General features: G+C 43.1%; 1 protein-coding gene and 2 long non-coding RNA genes across 3 annotated transcripts, besides 2 other annotated features; 2 read left to right on the plus strand and 1 right to left on the minus strand.

Moving 5' to 3' along the window:
• Nucleotides 1-10458: 10458 nt before the first annotated feature.
• PHLDA1 (pleckstrin homology like domain family A member 1) lies at nt 10459-16788 on the minus strand. Its single transcript, NM_007350.3, has 2 exons — nt 15522-16788; nt 10459-15104 (listed from the first exon to the last, which is right to left on the minus strand). Exon 1 carries the CDS (start codon nt 16751-16753, stop codon nt 15548-15550), a length of 1206 nt encoding a protein of 401 aa, NP_031376.3. The 5' UTR covers nt 16754-16788; the 3' UTR covers nt 10459-15104; nt 15522-15547.
• PHLDA1-AS1 (PHLDA1 antisense RNA 1) lies at nt 15506-16390 on the plus strand. Its single transcript, NR_186034.1, has 2 exons — nt 15506-15606; nt 15923-16390. It is a non-coding gene; the product is annotated as a PHLDA1 antisense RNA 1 (long non-coding RNA).
• Nucleotides 16324-16473: a silencer, noted in NCBI's record as "silent region_4664". NCBI's record gives its function as "represses an Ori minimal core promoter by ATAC-STARR-seq in GM12878 lymphoblastoid cells {active_cell/tissue: GM12878}" and the evidence as "EXISTENCE:reporter gene assay evidence [ECO:0000049][PMID:35858748]".
• Nucleotides 16694-16943: an enhancer, noted in NCBI's record as "active region_6674". NCBI's record gives its function as "activates an Ori minimal core promoter by ATAC-STARR-seq in GM12878 lymphoblastoid cells {active_cell/tissue: GM12878}" and the evidence as "EXISTENCE:reporter gene assay evidence [ECO:0000049][PMID:35858748]".
• On the plus strand, nt 16825-19401 carry PHLDA1-DT (PHLDA1 divergent transcript). The gene is made up of 2 exons (NR_185978.1): nt 16825-17814; nt 18276-19401. It is a non-coding gene; the product is annotated as a PHLDA1 divergent transcript (long non-coding RNA).
• Nucleotides 19402-19897: the final 496 nt, after the last annotated feature.

Consider the following 19897-nt stretch of genomic DNA (forward strand, 5'->3'; position numbering starts at 1 on the left):
TATTTAAAAAATTAGCCGGGCATGTTGGCAAGCACCTGTATTCCCAGCTACTCGGGAGGCTGAAGCAGAGAACTGCTTGAACCCGGGAGGCGGAGCTTGCAGAGAGCCGAGATCACGCCATTGCACTCCAGCCTGGGCAACAGAGCGAGACTCCATCTCAAAAAAAAAAACAAAAAACAAAACAAAACAAAAAAAAACAAAGAAAGAAAAAGAAATTAATAGAGCAGGGTGAGGGTGTCTTATGTCTGTAATCCCAGCACTTTGGATAGCCGAAGGAAGATGATTGCTTGAGCCCAAGAGTTTGAGAATAGCCTAGGTAACATAGACCCCATCTCTACAAAACATTTAAACAATTAGCTGGGCATGTTAGTACATGCCTGTTGTGCCAGCTACTAGGGAGGCTGAGGCAGGAGAATCATTTGAGCCCAGGAAGTCAAGGTTGCAGTGAGCCATGTTCGTGCCACTGTACCCCAGTAAGAACCTGAAGAAGAAAGAAAGAAAGAAAGAAAGAAAGAAAGAGAGAGAGAGAGAGAGAGAGAGAGAGAGAGAAAGAAAGAAAGAGAAAGGAAGAAAGAAAGAAAGAGAGAGAGAGAGAGAGAAAGAAAGAGACAGGAAGAAAGAAAGAAAGAAAGAAAGAAAGAAAGAAAGAAAGAAAGAAAGAAAGAAAGAAAGAAAGAAAGAAAGAAAGAAAAGGGAAGGGAAGGAGGAAGGAAGGAAGGAAAGAAGGAAGGAAGGAAAGAAGGAAGGAAGGAAAGAAGGAAGGAAGGGTCATGAAATGGGGATGCTCTTTAGCAGACAGTGGAGACAAGCACTTTCTAGATGTTTTGTCTGAATGGAGACAAAGTTCTCTCACATCTCATTATTTTAATCGTCACACTAGCTCCATGAGACAGGATTTATTATACCTATTTTACAGGTAAGAAAACTAAGATTCAAAAATGTTAGGTGACTTGTGCAAAGTTACACAGCTTAAGAGAGTCAGCACTGAGTCATATCCAGGTCCTTCAAATTCAAAGTTGTAGTCTTTCCAAAGAAAGGCAAATGAGTACAGAAATCACTACTTGTAAACTATTACAACTGAAACAGGGCAATTGAAGAATATCTTTACTCTAAAGACAAAGAAACTAAAGTCCAGAGACGCAAAATCATGTGCTCAGGGTCACACAACTTGTTAACGGCAAAGCCAAGTCTAGAATCTAGGATTCTTTCTACTACTCTTTGTTGACCCTTGAGGAATCTCCCGGGATAGTGTAAAAGCATGCTCCTCTTGTTGAGCATGAATGAAAAGCCTGAGATTCTTCTCCTGTTTTCTTGATTTGGATCTTTTGATAGACTCTGTGATTGGTGCTGGACATGACGTCTCTAAGGGAGCTAGCTTCTGCAAAACCAGCAAGCACCACTGATGGTGTCTCTGGCTTTATTGCTCCAGTTTCCGCTAAGAACCTTCGATCTTTCTTATATCTTTACCATGTCAATATGACTCTGACAGGAAGGCACTGAAAGCAACTACGTATTTCTGTTTTGAAATTTAGTTTTGTTCTATTTAAATTGTTCAGATGTAACGAAGGACCAATTGAAAATCATTACAACAGTACCATATGAGAAAGGAAAGTGTAAACCTTAGTAAGAATTATAAGAATACCTAAAATAGCCGGGCGCGGTGGCTCACGCCTGTAATCCCAGCACTTGGGGAGGCCGAGGCGGGCGGATCACGAAGTCAGGAGATCGAGACCATCCTGGTTAACATGGTGAAACCCCTTCTCTACTAAAAATACAAAAAAAATTAGCTGGGTGTGGTGGTGGGCGCCTGTAGTCCCAGCTACTCGGGAGGCTGAGGCAGGAGAATGGCGTGAACCCGGGAGGCAGAGCTTGCAGTGAGCCGAGATCACGCCACTGCACTCCAGCCTGGGTGAGAGTGCAAGACTCCGTCTCAAAAAAAAAAAAAAAAAAAAAAGAATACCTAAAATACTCTAAATTAATGTCTTTAAGAGCATTCCCATCTCTGAGAGAGGTCTGCATCGTATTTTAGTGCTAGCACACAGCCACAGTTTGCATAGCGTTTAAGCGCAAAGGCAGTGGAGTTAAATACCCAGATAACAATTCTCATCCTGCTGTTTATTTGGCAAGTTTCTTCAGTTCCCCAATCCTCAATTTCTTATCTATTAAGTAGAGGCTAATAAGACCTATAATAGAGGCTGCTAGTTTCCTTTCCAATAACCATTCTCCCCTCCTTCTTTGCTGACAGAACCCTAATTTTATTTGGGATGGCAATTTGGCCAGTACATTTCTAGCCCTCCTTTGCAACCCTGGATAGCAAATGTGGTGTTAAGTGGAAGTCACCATATTGGGATTCCAAAATTTTTCTAGGCTGGATATGGTAGCTCAAACTTGTAATCCCAGCACTATGGGAGGCCAAGTTGAGAGAATCACTTAAGTCCAGGAGTTCGAGACAAGTCTGGGCAACATAGGGAGACCCTGTCTCTACAAATAATTTAAAAATTAGTTGAGTGTGGTGGTGCGTGCCTGTGATCCCAGCTTCTCAGGAGGCTGAGGCAGGGGGATCACCTGAGCCCAGGAGGTTGAGGCTGCAGTGAGCTGCTGTTTCCCTAATTTTCTTTCTTCCTGTTCTAGAGCTCGAATATGGTAGCTGGAACTCCAGCAGCCATCTTGAATCATGAGGCTAGAAGTCCTGTACCAAGGGTGGTAGAAGAGAAAAGAAAGAAGGAACCCGGATCTGTGACAAACTAAAGTCACCTTACCCACCCTGGGCCACCCACATCTAGGTTACTTTTACATAAAAGAGAAGTAAATCTTTATCTTAATACACTTATTTTGATTTATCTGTAACAACAGGGTGTTTTTTTTTTGAGACGGAGTTTCACTCTTGTTGCCCAGGCTAGAGTGCAATGGCGTGATCTTGGCTCACCGCAATCTCCGCCTCCTGGGTTCAAGCAATTCTCCTGTCTCAGCCTCCCGAGTAGCTGGGATTACAGGCGCCTGCCACCAAGCCCAGCTAATTTTTTGTATTTTTAGTAGAGAAGGGGTTTCACCATGTTGGCCAGGCTGGTCTTGAACTCCTCACCTCAGGTGATCCGCCCACCTTGGCATCCCAAAGTGCTGGGATTACAGGCATGAGCCACCGCTCCTGGCCTGCCCTGTGGTCCTATTTTACACAGTCATTTGGTTCAACTGAATATCATTTTTTAAAGCCACATTGAAATCAAAGTGTTTTCCCAGGCTCTTAGAGTGCCCGGGTCAAGAATGCTGACAATCTGCTGTCAGAGAGAGAGGCTGTCCGCGTTACCCCCTATCAGCCCTCCCAGTCATCACTTGCATAAGAACCAGCAGGCAATCCACTGCCTTGTGACAAGCACTGTGACTCCAGGAGGGAGCCAAGTGCTATGAATGAAACCCCGTAAAAGGTCACTTTATGTAAGAGGAAATGTTGGCATCACCCAGAGCACATACACAATTTTGAATTAAAAGCCGGATTGCTGGATGCAGAAGTACATCTACTTATTAAAGATCCTGCTCCTTTTTTCTCCCTATCCTTTCATGAAAAGTTATTACAAACTCTAAAATCTTCTCCAAGTTAAATCCTTAAGTAAAAGAAGCACACAAGAAAACATTGTGTGGTTTGAAGTTCTTAATATCCTAGGTAGGTCAAAAACTGTTATTTATGGTTTAATTTGGAGCTATGTGAATTGCATTCACCTAGTTGCCCAGAAGGGCAGCAACAAATTTTTATCACTCCACGTATTAGGATCTCACCAGTGCCCATAGATCCACTACCCTCAACCAACCTTTTCAGAAAATATTTCTCCCAACACCTACACAGGCTACAAATCTAGGCAGCTACCTCCTCAAGTAACTGTATAAACATTCAAATCACTTCAACATTTTTCAACTCCACAGGTAATTTCAAGACCTGAGGGTGACTAGCAACAGGAAACATTCCACAAATATTTTAGGAGTCATAAGATAAAATCAATTTCAAATGGCTTTTTTAAAAGAATATATTCTAACAACCACATTTTAAAATAAGTCCATTTCAAAATATACTTCTGGAGGAGAAGGAGAGAGAAGAGGGAAAAAAAAGAAAAAAGAAAATGTGTGTGTGTGTATATATATATGCGTGTGTGTGTGTGTGTGTGTGTGTGTGTGTATTTCTGCAGTATTTCTGCAGGTAGGAGAGAGATTATTGCCTAACATTTTATAAAAAGCAATATATATATTTATACATATATATATATATATTTGTACACACACACACAGACACACACACACACTCTGGTTTCTTTTGTGAATTTGCCTGTTTCCTGAAGTTTTGTTAATCCATGTGGATTATATTTGAAAAGGGTAAAACATGATTAACTTTTTTTTTTTTTTTTTTTGAGACAAGGTCTCACTCTGTTTTCCAGGCTGGAGTGCAGTGGTGCAATTAGAGCTCACTGTGTCCTCGAACTCCTGGACTCAAGTGGTCTTCCTGCCTCAGAGTCCCAGGTAGCTGGGACCATAGGTGTGTGCCATCACATCAGGCTGTGTTTTTTATTTTTTGTAGAGGCGGGTTCTCACTTTGTTGCCCAGGCTGGTCTTGAACTCTGACCTCAAGTGATCCTCCTGCCTCTGTCTCCCAAAGGGCTGATATTACGGGCATGAGCCACTGAGCCTGGCCATGATTCCATTTTTAAAACTATGGAATTAAACAGTTTACTTTCCATCTCAGTTTATACTTTTTGGGGAAAAGATGTGATGAATCTTTTCATCTAAATGCTGAAAAGACTATAAATGATGTCTGAATGCTTCGAGTGATTATTTGCAAGAATAACAACACCTTGGATTTATGGAAATTGTCTTTCAGGCTTTACAAAGCAGTGGTGCAGTATTGAAAGAGCATTAATTAAGAATCATGGAAACTGGAATTTGGTTCTAATCATGTCTTTAACTTTAACTGCCGGTGTGACCTTGGGTGGCTAACTGACACCTCCTCACATCATTTTTTTTTTCACTGTAAAATGGGGAAGGATGGATGCTACATCATCTAAACTTCCAAAATGCCATGATCAACTCTGATTTCAAACTCAGTATTTCTGCAGGTAGGAGAGAGATTATTGCCTAACATTTGTTAGAAAGCAAACTCAAACCAGGGTCCACCAGCTGTTAAGACAGCCATGAAGCTCAGGTCTTCCGGCAGCTACCTGGCACGACTTACAGGCATCAGGGATTTCATGTGAACCCCTGGCAATAATTACAATTATTCCGTAGTGAGCCAGCACATTGTGGCAAGGATTAAATGCTTTCTCACGCCTGCAAATGCAACCCATATACAAATGCAATCCACCTGAGGAGTCTCCTTTTCTGTCAGAAACTAAAAAAGTAAGTCACTGAATTGTTCTCCCACTGAGACCACAGTCATCCCCTCCAGCGGTGGTGTTGAAATGTGGCAACAGGAAGTTACAAAGGGACCTGGCACCACCACAGACCACTGCTTTGTCATAGGTGTTCGGGCAGGATAGGCCTCACCCTCAAAGCAGGACGCTCAAAGCTCTAAGGAAGCCACTCTGCCCAGGGCTGCTTCAAACACTTAGAGATCAGGTTCTGCACCAAAAAACTGACAAGCCCGCCTTCATATGCCATGAAAAGTTACTAGCAAGAAGAGTAAAAACAGTAATTATAATACACACACACATACACGCACACAATGTATATATTTGGGGGTTCCTTGGAAGGATCATTAAAGGCAGGTGTTTACCAACTACAGCCAACGAACTACAGCCAAGCTTTGTAGAAATGAACATTTCTTTAACAACTAAAAACCAAAAAAAAGAACTGTTACAAGTTTGGCTTCTTTGGCTGTGATTAGTCACAAAGCTGGTCTGCAGTTTTGAGGTCATGAGTCAGCTCTGACGGGGTAAGCCACACTACTGGTTACAATTTGCTATGGCAAAGTTCAAAATACTCGCAAAATAAGTCAACTGTATGAACTATCAGCTTCTGGAGAAAGCCAGTGGAGGATAGTAACATAATTAAAACTTTGAAACTCCCCAAGGGTCATTTCCTGTTTCTTTCTCCCCAGTACTTGAATACTCATTTATCAGTTGCTTTGGAAGCACAGGATGTCTGGTCTTAAAACACGGCAGTACGTGTTTGCTCACTCCATTATAAACGACTTTGGCAGTCCTTAAGAGTATACAACATAACCGCATTGACTATTTTTTCAAGTTTTCATTTCCGGAGCCTGACTAAATATCAAATGCTTCAGGTGAATGCTCTGGCAAAAAGCAAGCCGTTCTCACATCGACTCTATCTCAGAAGCAGCTAATTCTGACTCTGTGTCTGGGAGTAACGAAGGGGACCTCTTTATCCCTAGGTCCTGACAATCCCTTCAAGATAAAATAAGATTCTGAATAATCCTCAAACCAATTAAATTTGCCTATAGCGACAGTCTATCCCAGATCATCTAAATTTCCACAGTGTTGTGGCCTCCACTGGTGCCATCTTTGATAAACAGACTTACTTTGTAGGCAAGTAAGGCTAGAGCTCTAGAACACTCGCACCATGACGTTTATTTGATTATGGCCTTTCTATGTAGCTGGTGAGGGCTTCCCACCAGGTCTTTGAGAAAAAAAGCAAGTAAGGATATTTTGCTGAATAAATTCGTATGGCCAATGAGTTCAGTATTCAAGTTTTCCTCTGTCAATAATTCTGGATAGTTGGAATGTCGTGTTGACATGATTCCTTCTACTTTAACATAAGTATAAATTTGGGTCAAATTTTACAAAAAACTAGGAATTTCTTGATACCTTTTTTTTTTAAGTTACAGTAACATCCTATTTCCTTTTCTTTTTTAAAATTTTTATTTCTCTTTTTTTTAATAAGCCTTTGTCAGAATCTTAAAAAAAAAATAGAGATGGGCTTCTTGCTATGCTGCCCAGGCTGGTCTTGAACTCCTGGCCTCAAGTGATCCTCTTGCCTTGGCCTCCCAAAGTGCTGGGATTACAGTCATGAGCCACCATGCCCAGCCCATCCTAGTTCTTAAAACCAGATTATTTGGATTGAAATATACATATGTATATGAATATATAATATCTAATTCCTCTTAAAATGGAATCCAGATAATAATGTTTGCATTTTCATGATGCTCTACTGTAAGTAAAGTGGCTAAGTGGTGCCTCTGGGACTTGAACTCATGCAGATTTTACTGCCACTTCATAGTATGTTCATAATAGCTTCTCTCAGGCAGGGCTATTATTCCCACTTACAAATGAGCAGACTAAGGCTCATAGAGATTTAATGAGCTGCTAATGTCAGAAGACTAAGAGTCAGAACTAGAATCCCAGTTCATGCTTTTTATTCAATATAATCTATGCATGATGATGTTTATTGCAGCTGTACTGTTAACAGCATAACAACAGAAAATCACCAGATGGCAATAGGCAAATAAGTGAAATAATACACCAACTAAATGGCATATTATGCTGTCATTAACATTATGACTTTAAACAATAATAATAAGGATGATAGCTACCACTTATTGAATGCTTACTTTGCGACAGGAACAGCCACAGTCCTTTATGTGAACTAATTTTGGTTTCACAACTCCATGAGACAGGTACTATCATTGTCTGCATTGCACACGCTGAAAACTGAGGCTAAAATAAATTAAATTACTTGCCCAGAGCAACTCAGCTAATAAGAATGAGACTATCTGATTCCAAAGCAGGGTTTCTCAACCTTGGTATGATTGACGTTTTGGGTGGGGTACTTCTTTGTTGTAGGTGGGGCTCTCCTGTGCATAGTAGAATATGTAGCAGCATCCTTGGCCTCTACTCACCACTTGTGATAACCAAAAATGTCTCCAAATGTTGCTAAATGTCTTCTGGGGTACAAAATTGCTCTAGGTTGAGAGCCACTACCCTAAAGCCTATGCTTCACCATTATGCTGTTTACTCCCCTCCCAACACCACCAGCCTTCCTACAGAACCTGGTGGTGGGAACATACATATACTCACATACAGAAACAGATATGGTCATAGATAGGATTGCCTGAGATACAGGTTCTGAGACTCTGAGATTTGACGGCAGGAGGTTAAGGGGAGAGCGAGGGTTCCCACCCCAAGTAGTGTTTTTGGGAACCTCACCTGTAAGGAAGCAAGGGAAACAGAATTGAGCAGAGTGAGAGTTGGACTACAATGCCCACTGGTTGTGATAGGCCTCTGCCAATTCCACAGGCAGCTCTGCAGCTGGGATGATCCTTTACCGTTGGCCTGGCCTTCATCTACTCCCCATAGACCCATCACAGGATGCAGGTTACCCCCAAGGAGGGGGTGTGTTCTAGGACAAGGTGGGTCCTCAGGGAAAGGACTTGCTGAGAACATGATAGCCACCAACACTTCCACATATGGTGACTGAATGCCCTCTCTGTCCTGAAGTGGCAATCTGGGCAGAACACCACACCCACATATGGACTATTTTGATAGAATAATTTATAAATAACTTAAAATACATGAGCATGTGGACCAAGACTGGAAAGTAATAAGCAAATGAAAATTGTCATTAAAATGGTAGTGCTTGCAGGCATGGTGGCTGATCCCTGTAATCCTGGGACTTTGGGAGGCTAAGGTGGGAGGATGCTTGAGCCCAGGAGTTCCAGGCTGCAGTGAGCTATGATCACACCAATGAACTCCAGTCTGGGCAACAGAGCAAGACCATGTCTCTAAAAAATAATAAAAATTGGCCAGGTGCGGTGGTTCATGCTTGTAATCCCAGCACTTTGGGAGGCTGAGGCAGGCAGATCACCTGAGGTCGGGAGTTCGAGACCAGCCTGGCCAACATGCTGAAACCCCGTCTCTACTAAAAATACAAAAATACAGGCGTGGTGGTGTGGGCCTGTAATCCCAGCTACTCGGGAAGCTGAAGCAGGAGAATAGCTTGAACCCAGGAGGCGGAGGTTGCAGTGAGTCGAGATTGTGCCACCGCATCTCAGAGTCTGGGCGACAGAGTAAAACTCCGTCTCCAAAGAAATAATGATAATAATAAAATTGTAAATAGTATTTCTATAATGTATTTTTCTCTTTTTTCAAAGTTGAATACAAGGATGTGGTCAACTATACTGTTCTTACCGTTGAAAAAGAAGTGCTGAGGCCAGGCATGGTGGCTCACACCTGTAATCCCAGCACTTTGGGATGCCGAGGCAGCTGGATCACTTGTGGTCAAGAGTTCAAGACCAGATTGGGCGACATGATGAAACCCCGTCTCTACTACAAATACGAAAATTAGCCATTGTGGTGGCACACGCCTGTAATCCCAGCTACTCAGGAGGCTGATGTGGGAGAACTGAACCCTGGAGGTGGAGATTGCAGTGAGCCAAGATGGCGCTACTGTGCTCCAGCCTGGGCAACAAAGCAACACTATGTTTTAAATAAATAAATAAGTGCTGAGATCTCAGAAAATACAATGCCTAGCTTCAGAATACCATATATTATATATTCATATGGCTATAATGATTCCCCACCTGTTTATCTGTCCTAATGCAAGGAGCTTCCTTTCATAGTGATGCCAGGCACTGCTCTAAGTAATTTTATGTATCCTAACTTATTAAATCTCCTCAACCACCCTAAAATAAGTACCTTTATAAACTCCATTTTACAGAAAAGGAAACAACTGAGTTTCCAAGAGTTTAAGTAATTCAAGATCTACACAGCTAATAATTGTGAAACTGGGACTTGAACCCGTGTACTATGACTCTCAAATCCTGGCTCTTACCAATCCTGGGCTACCACCTACTACACACATTTATTTCACACCGTGTCCCTGAAGTCCCCTCAGCATGATAGTAATTTGTCTTCTCACATTTTTTCTTTAAAAAAAAAAACAAAACAAAAAAACTAGAGTAGTAAAGCTGTCAATGCATGACTATGCTAAGGCATAAGGGATACAAAAAAATGCCTTCAAGTTTCCTATTTTAAAGTCTTTTGAGATTTAAAGGCTTTTAGATGCCAGTGGAGATTGTAAGAATAAAGTTATGCTATTTTTCTTTAAAGAATCAAGTCCCTCTTCTGCTTTCAACACAAAATAGGAAGGTCTATGAATACCGTTTGAAGGATGACTCAGAGACAAAGCTTTACCCTCCCAAGAGACATAAGAGAACTAGACTACCTCTGGGACTCAAGAGGGTATTGCTGTTGAGCTGATTCACTAGGAACTGTTTCTGGTCCTCTGGGAAACTATGGAAAATTCAATTAAAGTTCATTAGCATTCTGAAAGCTAATTTTTTCACCAACATACCTGAGCGAATTTTCATATTCCAAATTCCCAGTGAATTTTTTAAAAGATGAATTCCCAACCTCAAAAATGGTCTTTTTTTTTCCCAGAATGCCCAAGCAATTCAGAATCTCTGTTTCACAGGAACACACAATGCATGTGCCAGTTGAACAAGGCCTTCAAAAGGTCCACAGGTCGGTTGTCTCAATAGATAACTTTATTTGAAATGAAATGCATTTTGAAAATATGAAAAATAAATCACATCTCCCCAAAATCATCTAAGAGACATATTTACACAAGTTCTGACCATGCTAAAAAATTCATGAATGTGATGGTGTATAAAGCATTTGGTACATGATGATACTTGCTTTCCAGAAGCTGGCATTTGCATATTATAAAACGTTAAGAAGAAGGCTGACCTCGGAATGTAACAGACAATAGTTTTATGTTTCTTCTCAATATACAGTGACCTGGAAGGACTCCCTGTTGTTAAAACCTGCTTCCCCACTGCTCAGCCTGCCATCAGCCATCCAGCTGCAGAGCAGTGGAGAGTAGGTCTCACCAGTTTTTGTGCAGATGCTTCTAACCCAGAGTCCTTCTGCTTACTTCATTGGACAATATTGCCCTTTCTAAGAAAACCCTTTTAGATCCTGTACTCCACTTAGCAAATGCCCTGCCAGCAAAGTCACAGATGACTTTTTTACCCAATCTTAGGTAAATCTGGATTATCTGCCCAACCGTGCAAGTCAATAAGCCACCCTTGAAAACTGTGTCAAGATTTGAGGAAACAGGTCTTAAGAACCTATCCAACACATGATTCCATAACCAATACATCTTAGGTTGTTTTAGGCAAATAGGTGTATCTCTTGAATCACTGATGGATTCAATATCAAGATCTATAATTTTCACGTTTAAAATTTACTCTGCCGAGGACATTTTATTGGTAAAGCAAAAACCAGTTAGTTTGACACACACGAAAAAGAAAACAAATGTTCACAGTCCTATCTTCGTAGGATTCTGTGCTATAAAATTGCTCCAGGTTCAAGTCTTAGACCACTCTTCTAAGGCTGCTACTGAATATAATATTAACACTGGAGCCAAGCTAAAACTACATGACTTTTCCCCTAGGGACAGAAAACAAGGGATGTGTTTGAACTCATACACTTGCAGCAAACTTTACTGTCAGATATAAAATTAGGGCTTTCTCTTAAAGGGCTTCTTTAAGAGAAATACAGAGTGTTTGGTATATGAGAGAAAAAAAGTTAAAACAGGACTTTCAACTTAATCCAGACTTCCTAACAGTGTTTACATGTGAGGGAAACTCCTTTAAGTAATGCGTAGTTTTTATTTTTACCATCATTGGAGACAAAAAAAACAAAAACATAAACATCTGAAGTGAAATTATAAAGATGGCTTGATTTCTACATTAGAGAATCCCAGCTTGCTCAATGAGGAAAATGTTCATTTTAAAAGGGCCCCTTATAGACATTTGCTCTTTGACGTCAGCACTCCCCATAGAGCACACCCAGATCTAAATGGATTTCCACTAAGAAAGTCTGTTTAAGAAACTTCATCATGATGTTTAGCCTGTCCCAGAATTCATTGTTCTCAGGGAATGACATGAGAGCAAAGAAAAGGAACACTCAGTGAGGCAAGAGACAGCATCTCCCAGATGCTGGGAAGTTACACATTTTGTCCTTCCTTCCTTTGTCCCAACAGTTATTGAGCTCACTGTGTATGAGGCTTGGTGCCAACACAAGTTCAAGGACAAAAGTTCAGTTTCCAGATGGAACATTACTCTTAATTTTCCAACTTTTTACATTTTATGTTTATTTAAGGAGCGGGTCTTCTATTGGATCTGCCCTTTCGGTTGAAAAATGCATTTTTTACCTTTTTCCATGAAGCTGATTTGTCAGGCTTCAAAATATCTTAGGTGGTTTTGTATCATTTTCTTACAGGTAGAATAGAGCCACTGGGACATTAAATGATGTACATTTATATTTTGTTTTGTTTAGTCTTATTGAGCGTGTTTGCTTTTTTGCTCTGGAAAAATTATTAATAATAATTTCAAAGGTGTCAAAACAATAAAAGCCATTCTACTTCTAATTTCTTAGATTTCACATTAAATGCTAAGAGGGGTTCAGAATAGAAAATGATAAAGGTCAACATAAATATCACAGCAGACTAAGGAACAAGGGCTACAGAAAGTCAAGAAACCATTATTCTGGGGCCGGGTGTGGTGGCTCACACCTGTAATCCTAGCACTTTGGGAGGCCAAGGCAGGTGGATCACCTGAGGTCAGGAGTTCGAGAACAGCCTGACCACTATGGTGAAACCCCATCTCTACTAAAAATACAAAAATCAGCCGGGCGTGGTGGCATTCACCTGTAGTCCCAGCTACTCAGGAGGCTGAGACAGGAGAATGGCGTGAACCCAGGAGGCAGAGGTTGCAGTGAGCCGAGATCGTGCCACTGCACTCCAGCCTGGGTCACAGGGCGAGACTCCATCTCAAAAAAAAAAAAAAAAAAAGAAACCATGATTCCGGTGGCCCTATTAAGAACCATGGCCACCACGGGCGAAGAAAAAGAAATCCAGCCACCAAGAGGGAGCCTAGGCGCATCTTTTTAAGCAATGAAATTACCTAGCCCCATATGTAAGCTAACAACATACAAATGCCTTTTTTAAAACCTACATCAATCTTAATTTGTAAAAATATTTGGTATGGATTTTTTTTTTTTAGTACAAGAATTAAAAAAAAATCCTCCATTGGGAAAAAACTGTGGTTCATTTGGAGCTATTATGATTTGCATGCATTAAAAATATAGTACTATGAGGTACTCCTCAAAAAGTACAGCCACAGTTCTAAGGAAGCTGAACCAAACTTGATTTAAGAAATCTTTAGATGTGGCTCTCATTTCATATACATATATACATACATACACATATATACATATTCATATATGTGTACACACATGTTCTCATATATGTATATATACATACATATTCATATATGTGTATACATATATACATATGAAACAAGTTTTTAAATGTTGGCAGCATATTTTCACAACTGCAACCTAAACAACCACTGGAAGTGGGGGTCCACTTAAGTTTTGTTTGCCATTAGCTTAATAGGGGAAAGCTATTTTAATTTTCCCTGCAACTTTTTGGATATGAGTTATGATCTCAAAATGTCATTTAACTATTGCACTAAAAAGTAATTTGACCTTGGAACTCCTTTCTAGATGGAAGGAGAATAAAGACATCTGTAGCATGTAATTCTATTTTTATTTCTTGACTACATAACCTAGCAGTGGTCTAATACTGACCGTTTCAATTTAAATGCTGGAAAAATACTGACCAAGACTTTCTGTGAAAAAGATAATGGAAAACAGAAACCAGTTAGTAAAGCCATGCAAATAGGAAGTGATTTTCAGCCCCAAGAGGACTTTGTATCATCTATGGCTCCATTTAAACCCAAGTAGCATCTGTCCTGGTGGATTTTGAACATCCTTTTGATTTAACACAGAAGAAGGTTTGTTCTACCTTTAAAAGCATATCCTCTTTTTTCCCCCAACAGACTCCTCAACAAGTGGCTTCTAAGACAAGACTGGGGTTGTTTTCTTACTGAAAATCCTGTGTTTATCCAGTCTTTTCCTTTTCAATTTCTGAGTTTAGCTTACCTAACAGCAAAACAGAATCCTCAAATTTCTCACAGAGCAATGAAAAGCAAAACAGTTGGTTTCTCTGATCAACATCATTTTCAGTATGAAAACAAAAGTTATGACTCCTAGACCTTTGAAATATTTACAAATTGTACTTTAAACAACGAGATTTTTCAGTGTGCTTCTAAAACAAAGTAAAGGGATCAGAAAATGTGGTTCAAGTCAAGTGTGCAAAGCTCTCGAAGAAAGGTCCTGCAGCCTGGACAGGAGTACAAATATTCTCTTATACAAGTTAAATGTACTCTTTTCCTCCACAACATTTTTGAAATGAAACAGCAAATGCATTTATACTCACAAATCAGTCAAAAGGCCTCTTCTCCTTATTAAGCCCTTTACACACAGATGATAAAAGCAAGGTTTTCCTACAATAGATGTGGCCCTACCACATATTCAAGATACAATCATCCTACCATCAGTTAGGTTATGCTTTAAATATTTTGAAATCAGGTATCCTTAACTACTGATTTCCTTTTAGAAACTATCTTGAGTGTTAGATTTTCATAATTACACCATTTTTAACTTTTAGCTTTTTAAACTTCTAGACAAACTATATGTTTAAGCAAAAACAAAAATAAAAATCCTCAAAAAAAGTAATATCAGAGTTTTAATTTCAACCAGCTGGCACAACAATGAAAGTGTCAGACTTTCTGAAAGTACTCGAGAAATAATGAATAAATTCTTAATGTTTTCCCCTCCACCGCCCTTTTTTATTCTCCAAGATTAGGAATTACTACGGATTAGGTTTTTGAAAATAAAGTTTCCTTTTTGGAAAATGGTCTACATTCAGAAATGTCTTAGAACAAGCATTTAAAAAAAAACTAATAAATAATCATAAATCAAAATACATTAAAATAAAATTACAGTACATCATCGCTCCTAGAAAATTCACCATACAAGACGATCCTTTCAAAGGTTCATAAATAAAAGTCTTCTTGACTCGAAATCGTTTCCTGCATCGTGATGAAAAGTATGCAGAAAACTAAGAAGAATCGCAAGTTTTCAGTAGGGTGATGTCCAAACTACTTGATCTGGTGCGGGGCGGAGAGACTGTTTTGCTTTTGATCCAAGTGAAGACAATAGAAATGTGCTCGTCCCACTTCCTCAAGTCCTCAAAACCTGGAAAGAAATGACACCGAGTGAAGTAGGTGGCTAAGAACCCTCCGAGACCAGTTCTGTTCGGGCCAGTCCGCCTGACAAAGCGGGCTCAGAAAGACACCGTGGTGTTTCCCTCAACTGCCCAAACATATAGTCAAGTGGGGCTGGGGGACGCACCACGGGACAAGGACGGTCGTGATGGGCGCGGGCGCGGGCGCGGTCCGCGAGGCCCCCTGCCTGGCCCGGATCTCCCCAGCCTCCCCTCTCTGCCCAGCTCTCCTGGCCCCAGCTTGTTTCTGTTTCTTCCATTGCCCCAGAAACTTGGTATGAGTTTTGATTTCTCCATACAGGAGCCGAACCTGTGAACAAGCTTCCTACTCCTCCCAACTCACTACCCCCGAGACCCACTCCTCGGGAGCGCGAGTGCCGGGACCTTACCTTGTCTTGCCCGGGAGCTGCCCCTTTCAGGCAGAGTTGGAGGTGCTGCGGAGAAGCCGGTGCCCGTGCGGCTGCGAGTGCGGCTGTGGGTGTGGGTGCGGTATTTGGTGCGGATGCGGGTGCGGGTGAGGGTGTGGGTGCGAGTGAGGATGAGAGTGTGGATGTGGATGTGGATGCGGATACGGGTGGAGCTGCTGGGGCTGAGGCTTGGGTTGGGGCTGAGGCTGGGGTTGTGATTGGGGCTGGGGTTGCGGCTGAGGCTGAGGCTGGGGTTGGGGCTGGAGCTGCGGCTGCGGCTGCGGCTGCGAGGGGGGCTGCTGCTGGACCAGGTGCTGCTGCTTCTGCCGCGTGGATTTGACCGCCAGGATGGCCTGACGATTCTTGTACTGCACCATCTGCAGCGTGATCTCGGCGTTCCAGCCCTGGTCTTGCGGGCACCGAAAGTCGATCTCCTTGCCCTCTGCCATCACCACAGTGAAGTACATGTACTTGCCCTTGCGCTCCACACAGTCCACGGTCTTCATGTTGGAGAAGTGCAGTTCCTTGAGCTTGACCGGCGGCTCGAGGCTGGCGACAGCGGGGCCACTGGGTTGGGACGGCTCGGCCGGCCCCTGCCCGGGCTGTTGTTGCTGCTGCTGCTGCTGCTGTTGCTGCTGCTGCTGCTGGTGTTGCAGCTGCTTGGGCGGGATAAGCAGCAGCCCTTCCTCGGTGAGGATGCAACACTTTTTCTTCCAGAGCTGCAACAACCCGTCGCTGCGCTTCTCCAGCACGCCCTCCTTCAGCGCTTTGCAGCCGCTACTCTCCAGCATCCTCCCAGCATAAGAGGGGCCGCCGCTTGGCTCGGCCTCTCCGTTTCCAGCCGCGCGGGCCGGGGGCAGCAGCAGCAGCCTCGCGCCGTCCTCGCCCCAGCGGCTCCCACGGCCGCCTGCCCGGAGCGCGCAGAGGAGGCTAACACGCAGGAGGCAGAGCGGCGGCGGCGGCTCTGGGTCCCGGCAGAGGGACAGCCGCGTCCTGATGCGCCACAAGGTCCCGGAGCTCCGAGCTGCCGGGCCTCTGCCGTCCTCTTGCGAGCGCTCACTGAAGGGCACTGGCCGGGCCCCCTCGCGGCGCTTTTGAATGGGCCATCTTCCCCACCCCCGAGTGACACCCAGCGGAAAAGGCGGCTCCTGGCGCCCGCACCGCGGGGGAAAGCCCAGCTCCAAGAGGCGCTCGGCAGCCGGCGCACGCCTCATTAACTTGGGGCCTTTCCAAAGCCCGCTGCGTCCACGCCCTCCAGCGTCTCTTGCTCCGCCTCTCGCCGCCCACTTGCTTCCGCGCTCGTTCCCCTGGAAGGCGACCCGGACCCGAGCCCCGGAAACTCCTCTCCTCTACCCAGGGCGATCGCCCAAGGAGCCCTGGCTGCCTGACTACTGCCGACGCTCACAGGGCGCTGCGAGGCCATCCCCCGCGTCCCGCTTCTCCCCGGCCCGCGGGACTCTCTGCTAACAGCCTCAGAAAGTGAGGACGGGGGCGCGGAGGCGGGGGCAGCCTCCAGGCAGTGCTGCCTCTCGGTTCTTGGGAATTAGCCCGGGGGATTCGCGCTGGGCTCCGAGAGCCCGCAGAACCAGCGTCGTGTCCTGGGCGAGCTGGGAGGCCGGGGCCGAGTCCCGCGAGTCCCGCGAGTGTGCCTCCCCCGGACGCCTAGGTAAACAACTGAGCGCACAGAGGCCGAGAGGACATCGTGTCTTCCCACGCATATTCGCTCACGGTCACTAAGTAGCTCTTCTTGGAAAGAGGGCGATTGTTAAAGCAATAGTGCGACTGTCGGGCTTGCCACGGGTGGAGAGAGGCGGACCCACGTCAGGTCGCATCTCGCCTGCTTTTCTCGACCCCGACCGCAGGCGCTAACCCGTCTTCGGCTTTCTTCTTGACCCGTACGGTTTGCAACGTCTCTTAAAACAGTAACTCAACTCTCTACAAACCGGGGTAATATCCGGTGCTGAGATCCCACACTGCAAGGCGCAGTTCCAAACGTCTGGTCGGCCTCGCAGGTCCCTCTTTCCAAGGCCTAGCCAGATCTTGGTTTTGGAATCTCATTTATCTGTGACCTGGGGAATGCAATACCCCCAGCTCCCTCCTACTCCTACATTTAAACAATGCCTATAGAAGCCGCTTCCTGGGAAGTAAGGCATAACCGAGACCTAGCCTCCCGGTAGGGAAGTTCATCCGTTTAGTAAACAGCCCCAACTACGTGCGGACCCTCACGGGGATACGAAGAATTCAACCAGGGCTGGACAAGTCAGAGTGGGCCAAGGTAAGAGTTACGGCTGCTACTGTGCCCACGTTGGAACAGATAGATTAGTTCATCTGCTAGTTGTGTGGCAAGAGCAAAGAATTCAAGAGGGGAAGAGAAAGTGAGAGGAGCTTAGAGAGCTAAGCAAGAATCGAATCCTTTGTGTGTCATGGTAAGAAATTCGAACTTAATACCAAGGTAGTCAGAACAAAGGACAACTTTTATACACGAGGGCGTCCTGAATATTCATCTAAGAAACAATGTCTGATCAAACGGGACAATCCAGCCAGCAATCCTGAGTCCCACCGGATTATGCTTGGCCAGCTTTCTAGCCTTCACATTGTTAATTTATTAGCAATCTTTTCAGGAGAAAGGCAATTATTAAAATTATGTGGACTTCTAGTAAAATTATCTCGAAGATTTACAATTATGTATACCAATAACAAAAAAACTACATGTTTTCTGCTCCCCTGCCTTTGTAGGACAAGTGAGCATTCCAGAGAATTTCTACATGACCAGCTGTTCATTCTTTTAAGAGGATGACATTCTTCAGCTCATCTGGAAAGGATACTTCCTTTAAGTCTGTTATTCACAGTCTCCAAGGGCAGGTGTAGTTGGGAAAGACATTTCATATGGAAAAACAAACTTGATAGGGTAAAAAAAAAAAAAATGAGATGTAATCTGGAGGCCCAAGTCATTTTCTTAGGAGAAACTCAAATGTGTTTGGTGTTATCTAACCTTCTGCAGTTTATCAGTCTGAAACAAATGCATTCTATTCTCATTTGAAAATGTCTGAACAGCCACCAATTTTCAAAATCACCCATTTAACTAGAGACTTTAAAGCCCAGAATTTGCAGTTACGTATTTCAGAATGATTTAGTAATTTTGTGAGCAGCTCAGAGGTTAAGTCTACAATGTCTGACTACGGTGCATTATTGAAAATATCAGTAGTGTAAGGATCCCGTAGATTGGTGATAACTTTGCTCTTGTTATTTCAACAGTTACCACCAACAGTTGGTGACTTAACAAATTAAGAGCATAGTTGCCATATGCTCATATTTGGCAAATATGTCAAAATGGCCATATTTGCCAATTTTTAAGACAATAAATTCACAGAAAATGCATTACAGAAAATAACTTAAAAAAAAAAAAAACAACTTTTGGGCCAGGCATGGTGGTTCACACCTGTAATACCAACACTCTAGGAGGCTGAGGTGAGAGGATCCCTTGAGCCCAGGAGTTTGAAACCAACCTGGGCTACATGGCAAGGCCTCCCTCTACAAATGTAAAAAAAAAATTAGCCAGGTGTGGTGGCATGCGCCATGTAGCCCCAGCTACTTGGGAGGCTGAGGTGGAGGACTGTTTGAGCCCAGAAGTTCAAGGTTGCAGGAGCTAGGATCGCACCACTATACAAGCCTGGGTGGCAGCAAGACCCTGTTTAAAAAAAAAAAAAAATTCAGCTGTATATGCAATGAAAACCTACAAGTCACTGAAAAGTTACTGAAGTTTAGAAAACTAGCCAACAAAATCATTGCTTTGGTAAACAAATTTGAAATGGCTAATTGAAAGTACATTTTACAGCTGGCAATATAAAGTTATCTATCAGCAGCACTGGACAGTTCATTTTCTTCTCTTGGATAAAGTTTATCACTTGGCTTCAAGGACATCACTCAGTTTTCCTTTACATCTCCAGTGTCTCCTCTATGAGGTGCTTTCTCTTCTCTCCAAACTTTTAATGTTGGAATGCCCCAAGTCTTTGTCTTTGGCTCTCTTCTTTATCTACACTCATTCCCTTGTTGATATCCAGTCTCATCACTTTTAATAACATCTATATGCCAGAGTCCCAAATTTATACCCCCAACTTATATCCAACTGCTTACTGCCGAAGAATAAAACACTGAAGTTAAAAAATAATAAACATACCAGGCAAGGGAACACTTACTAGTAAAGCCATTTACTGAGTAGTTCACTAAAGGTTTAAGTCTGAGGGGATTTTAGGTCATAGGAAAAAAAAAAAAAAACTGAAAAAGAACACTCGGATGGTCAGAGGAGTCTGTAATTCATACACAATAGGTTTTAACAAATTCCTACATGGAACTGCTCC

This window comes from Homo sapiens, chromosome 12 (assembly GCF_000001405.40).
Source record: "Homo sapiens chromosome 12, GRCh38.p14 Primary Assembly".
NCBI classification, from domain to species: Eukaryota; Metazoa; Chordata; class Mammalia; order Primates; family Hominidae; genus Homo; species Homo sapiens.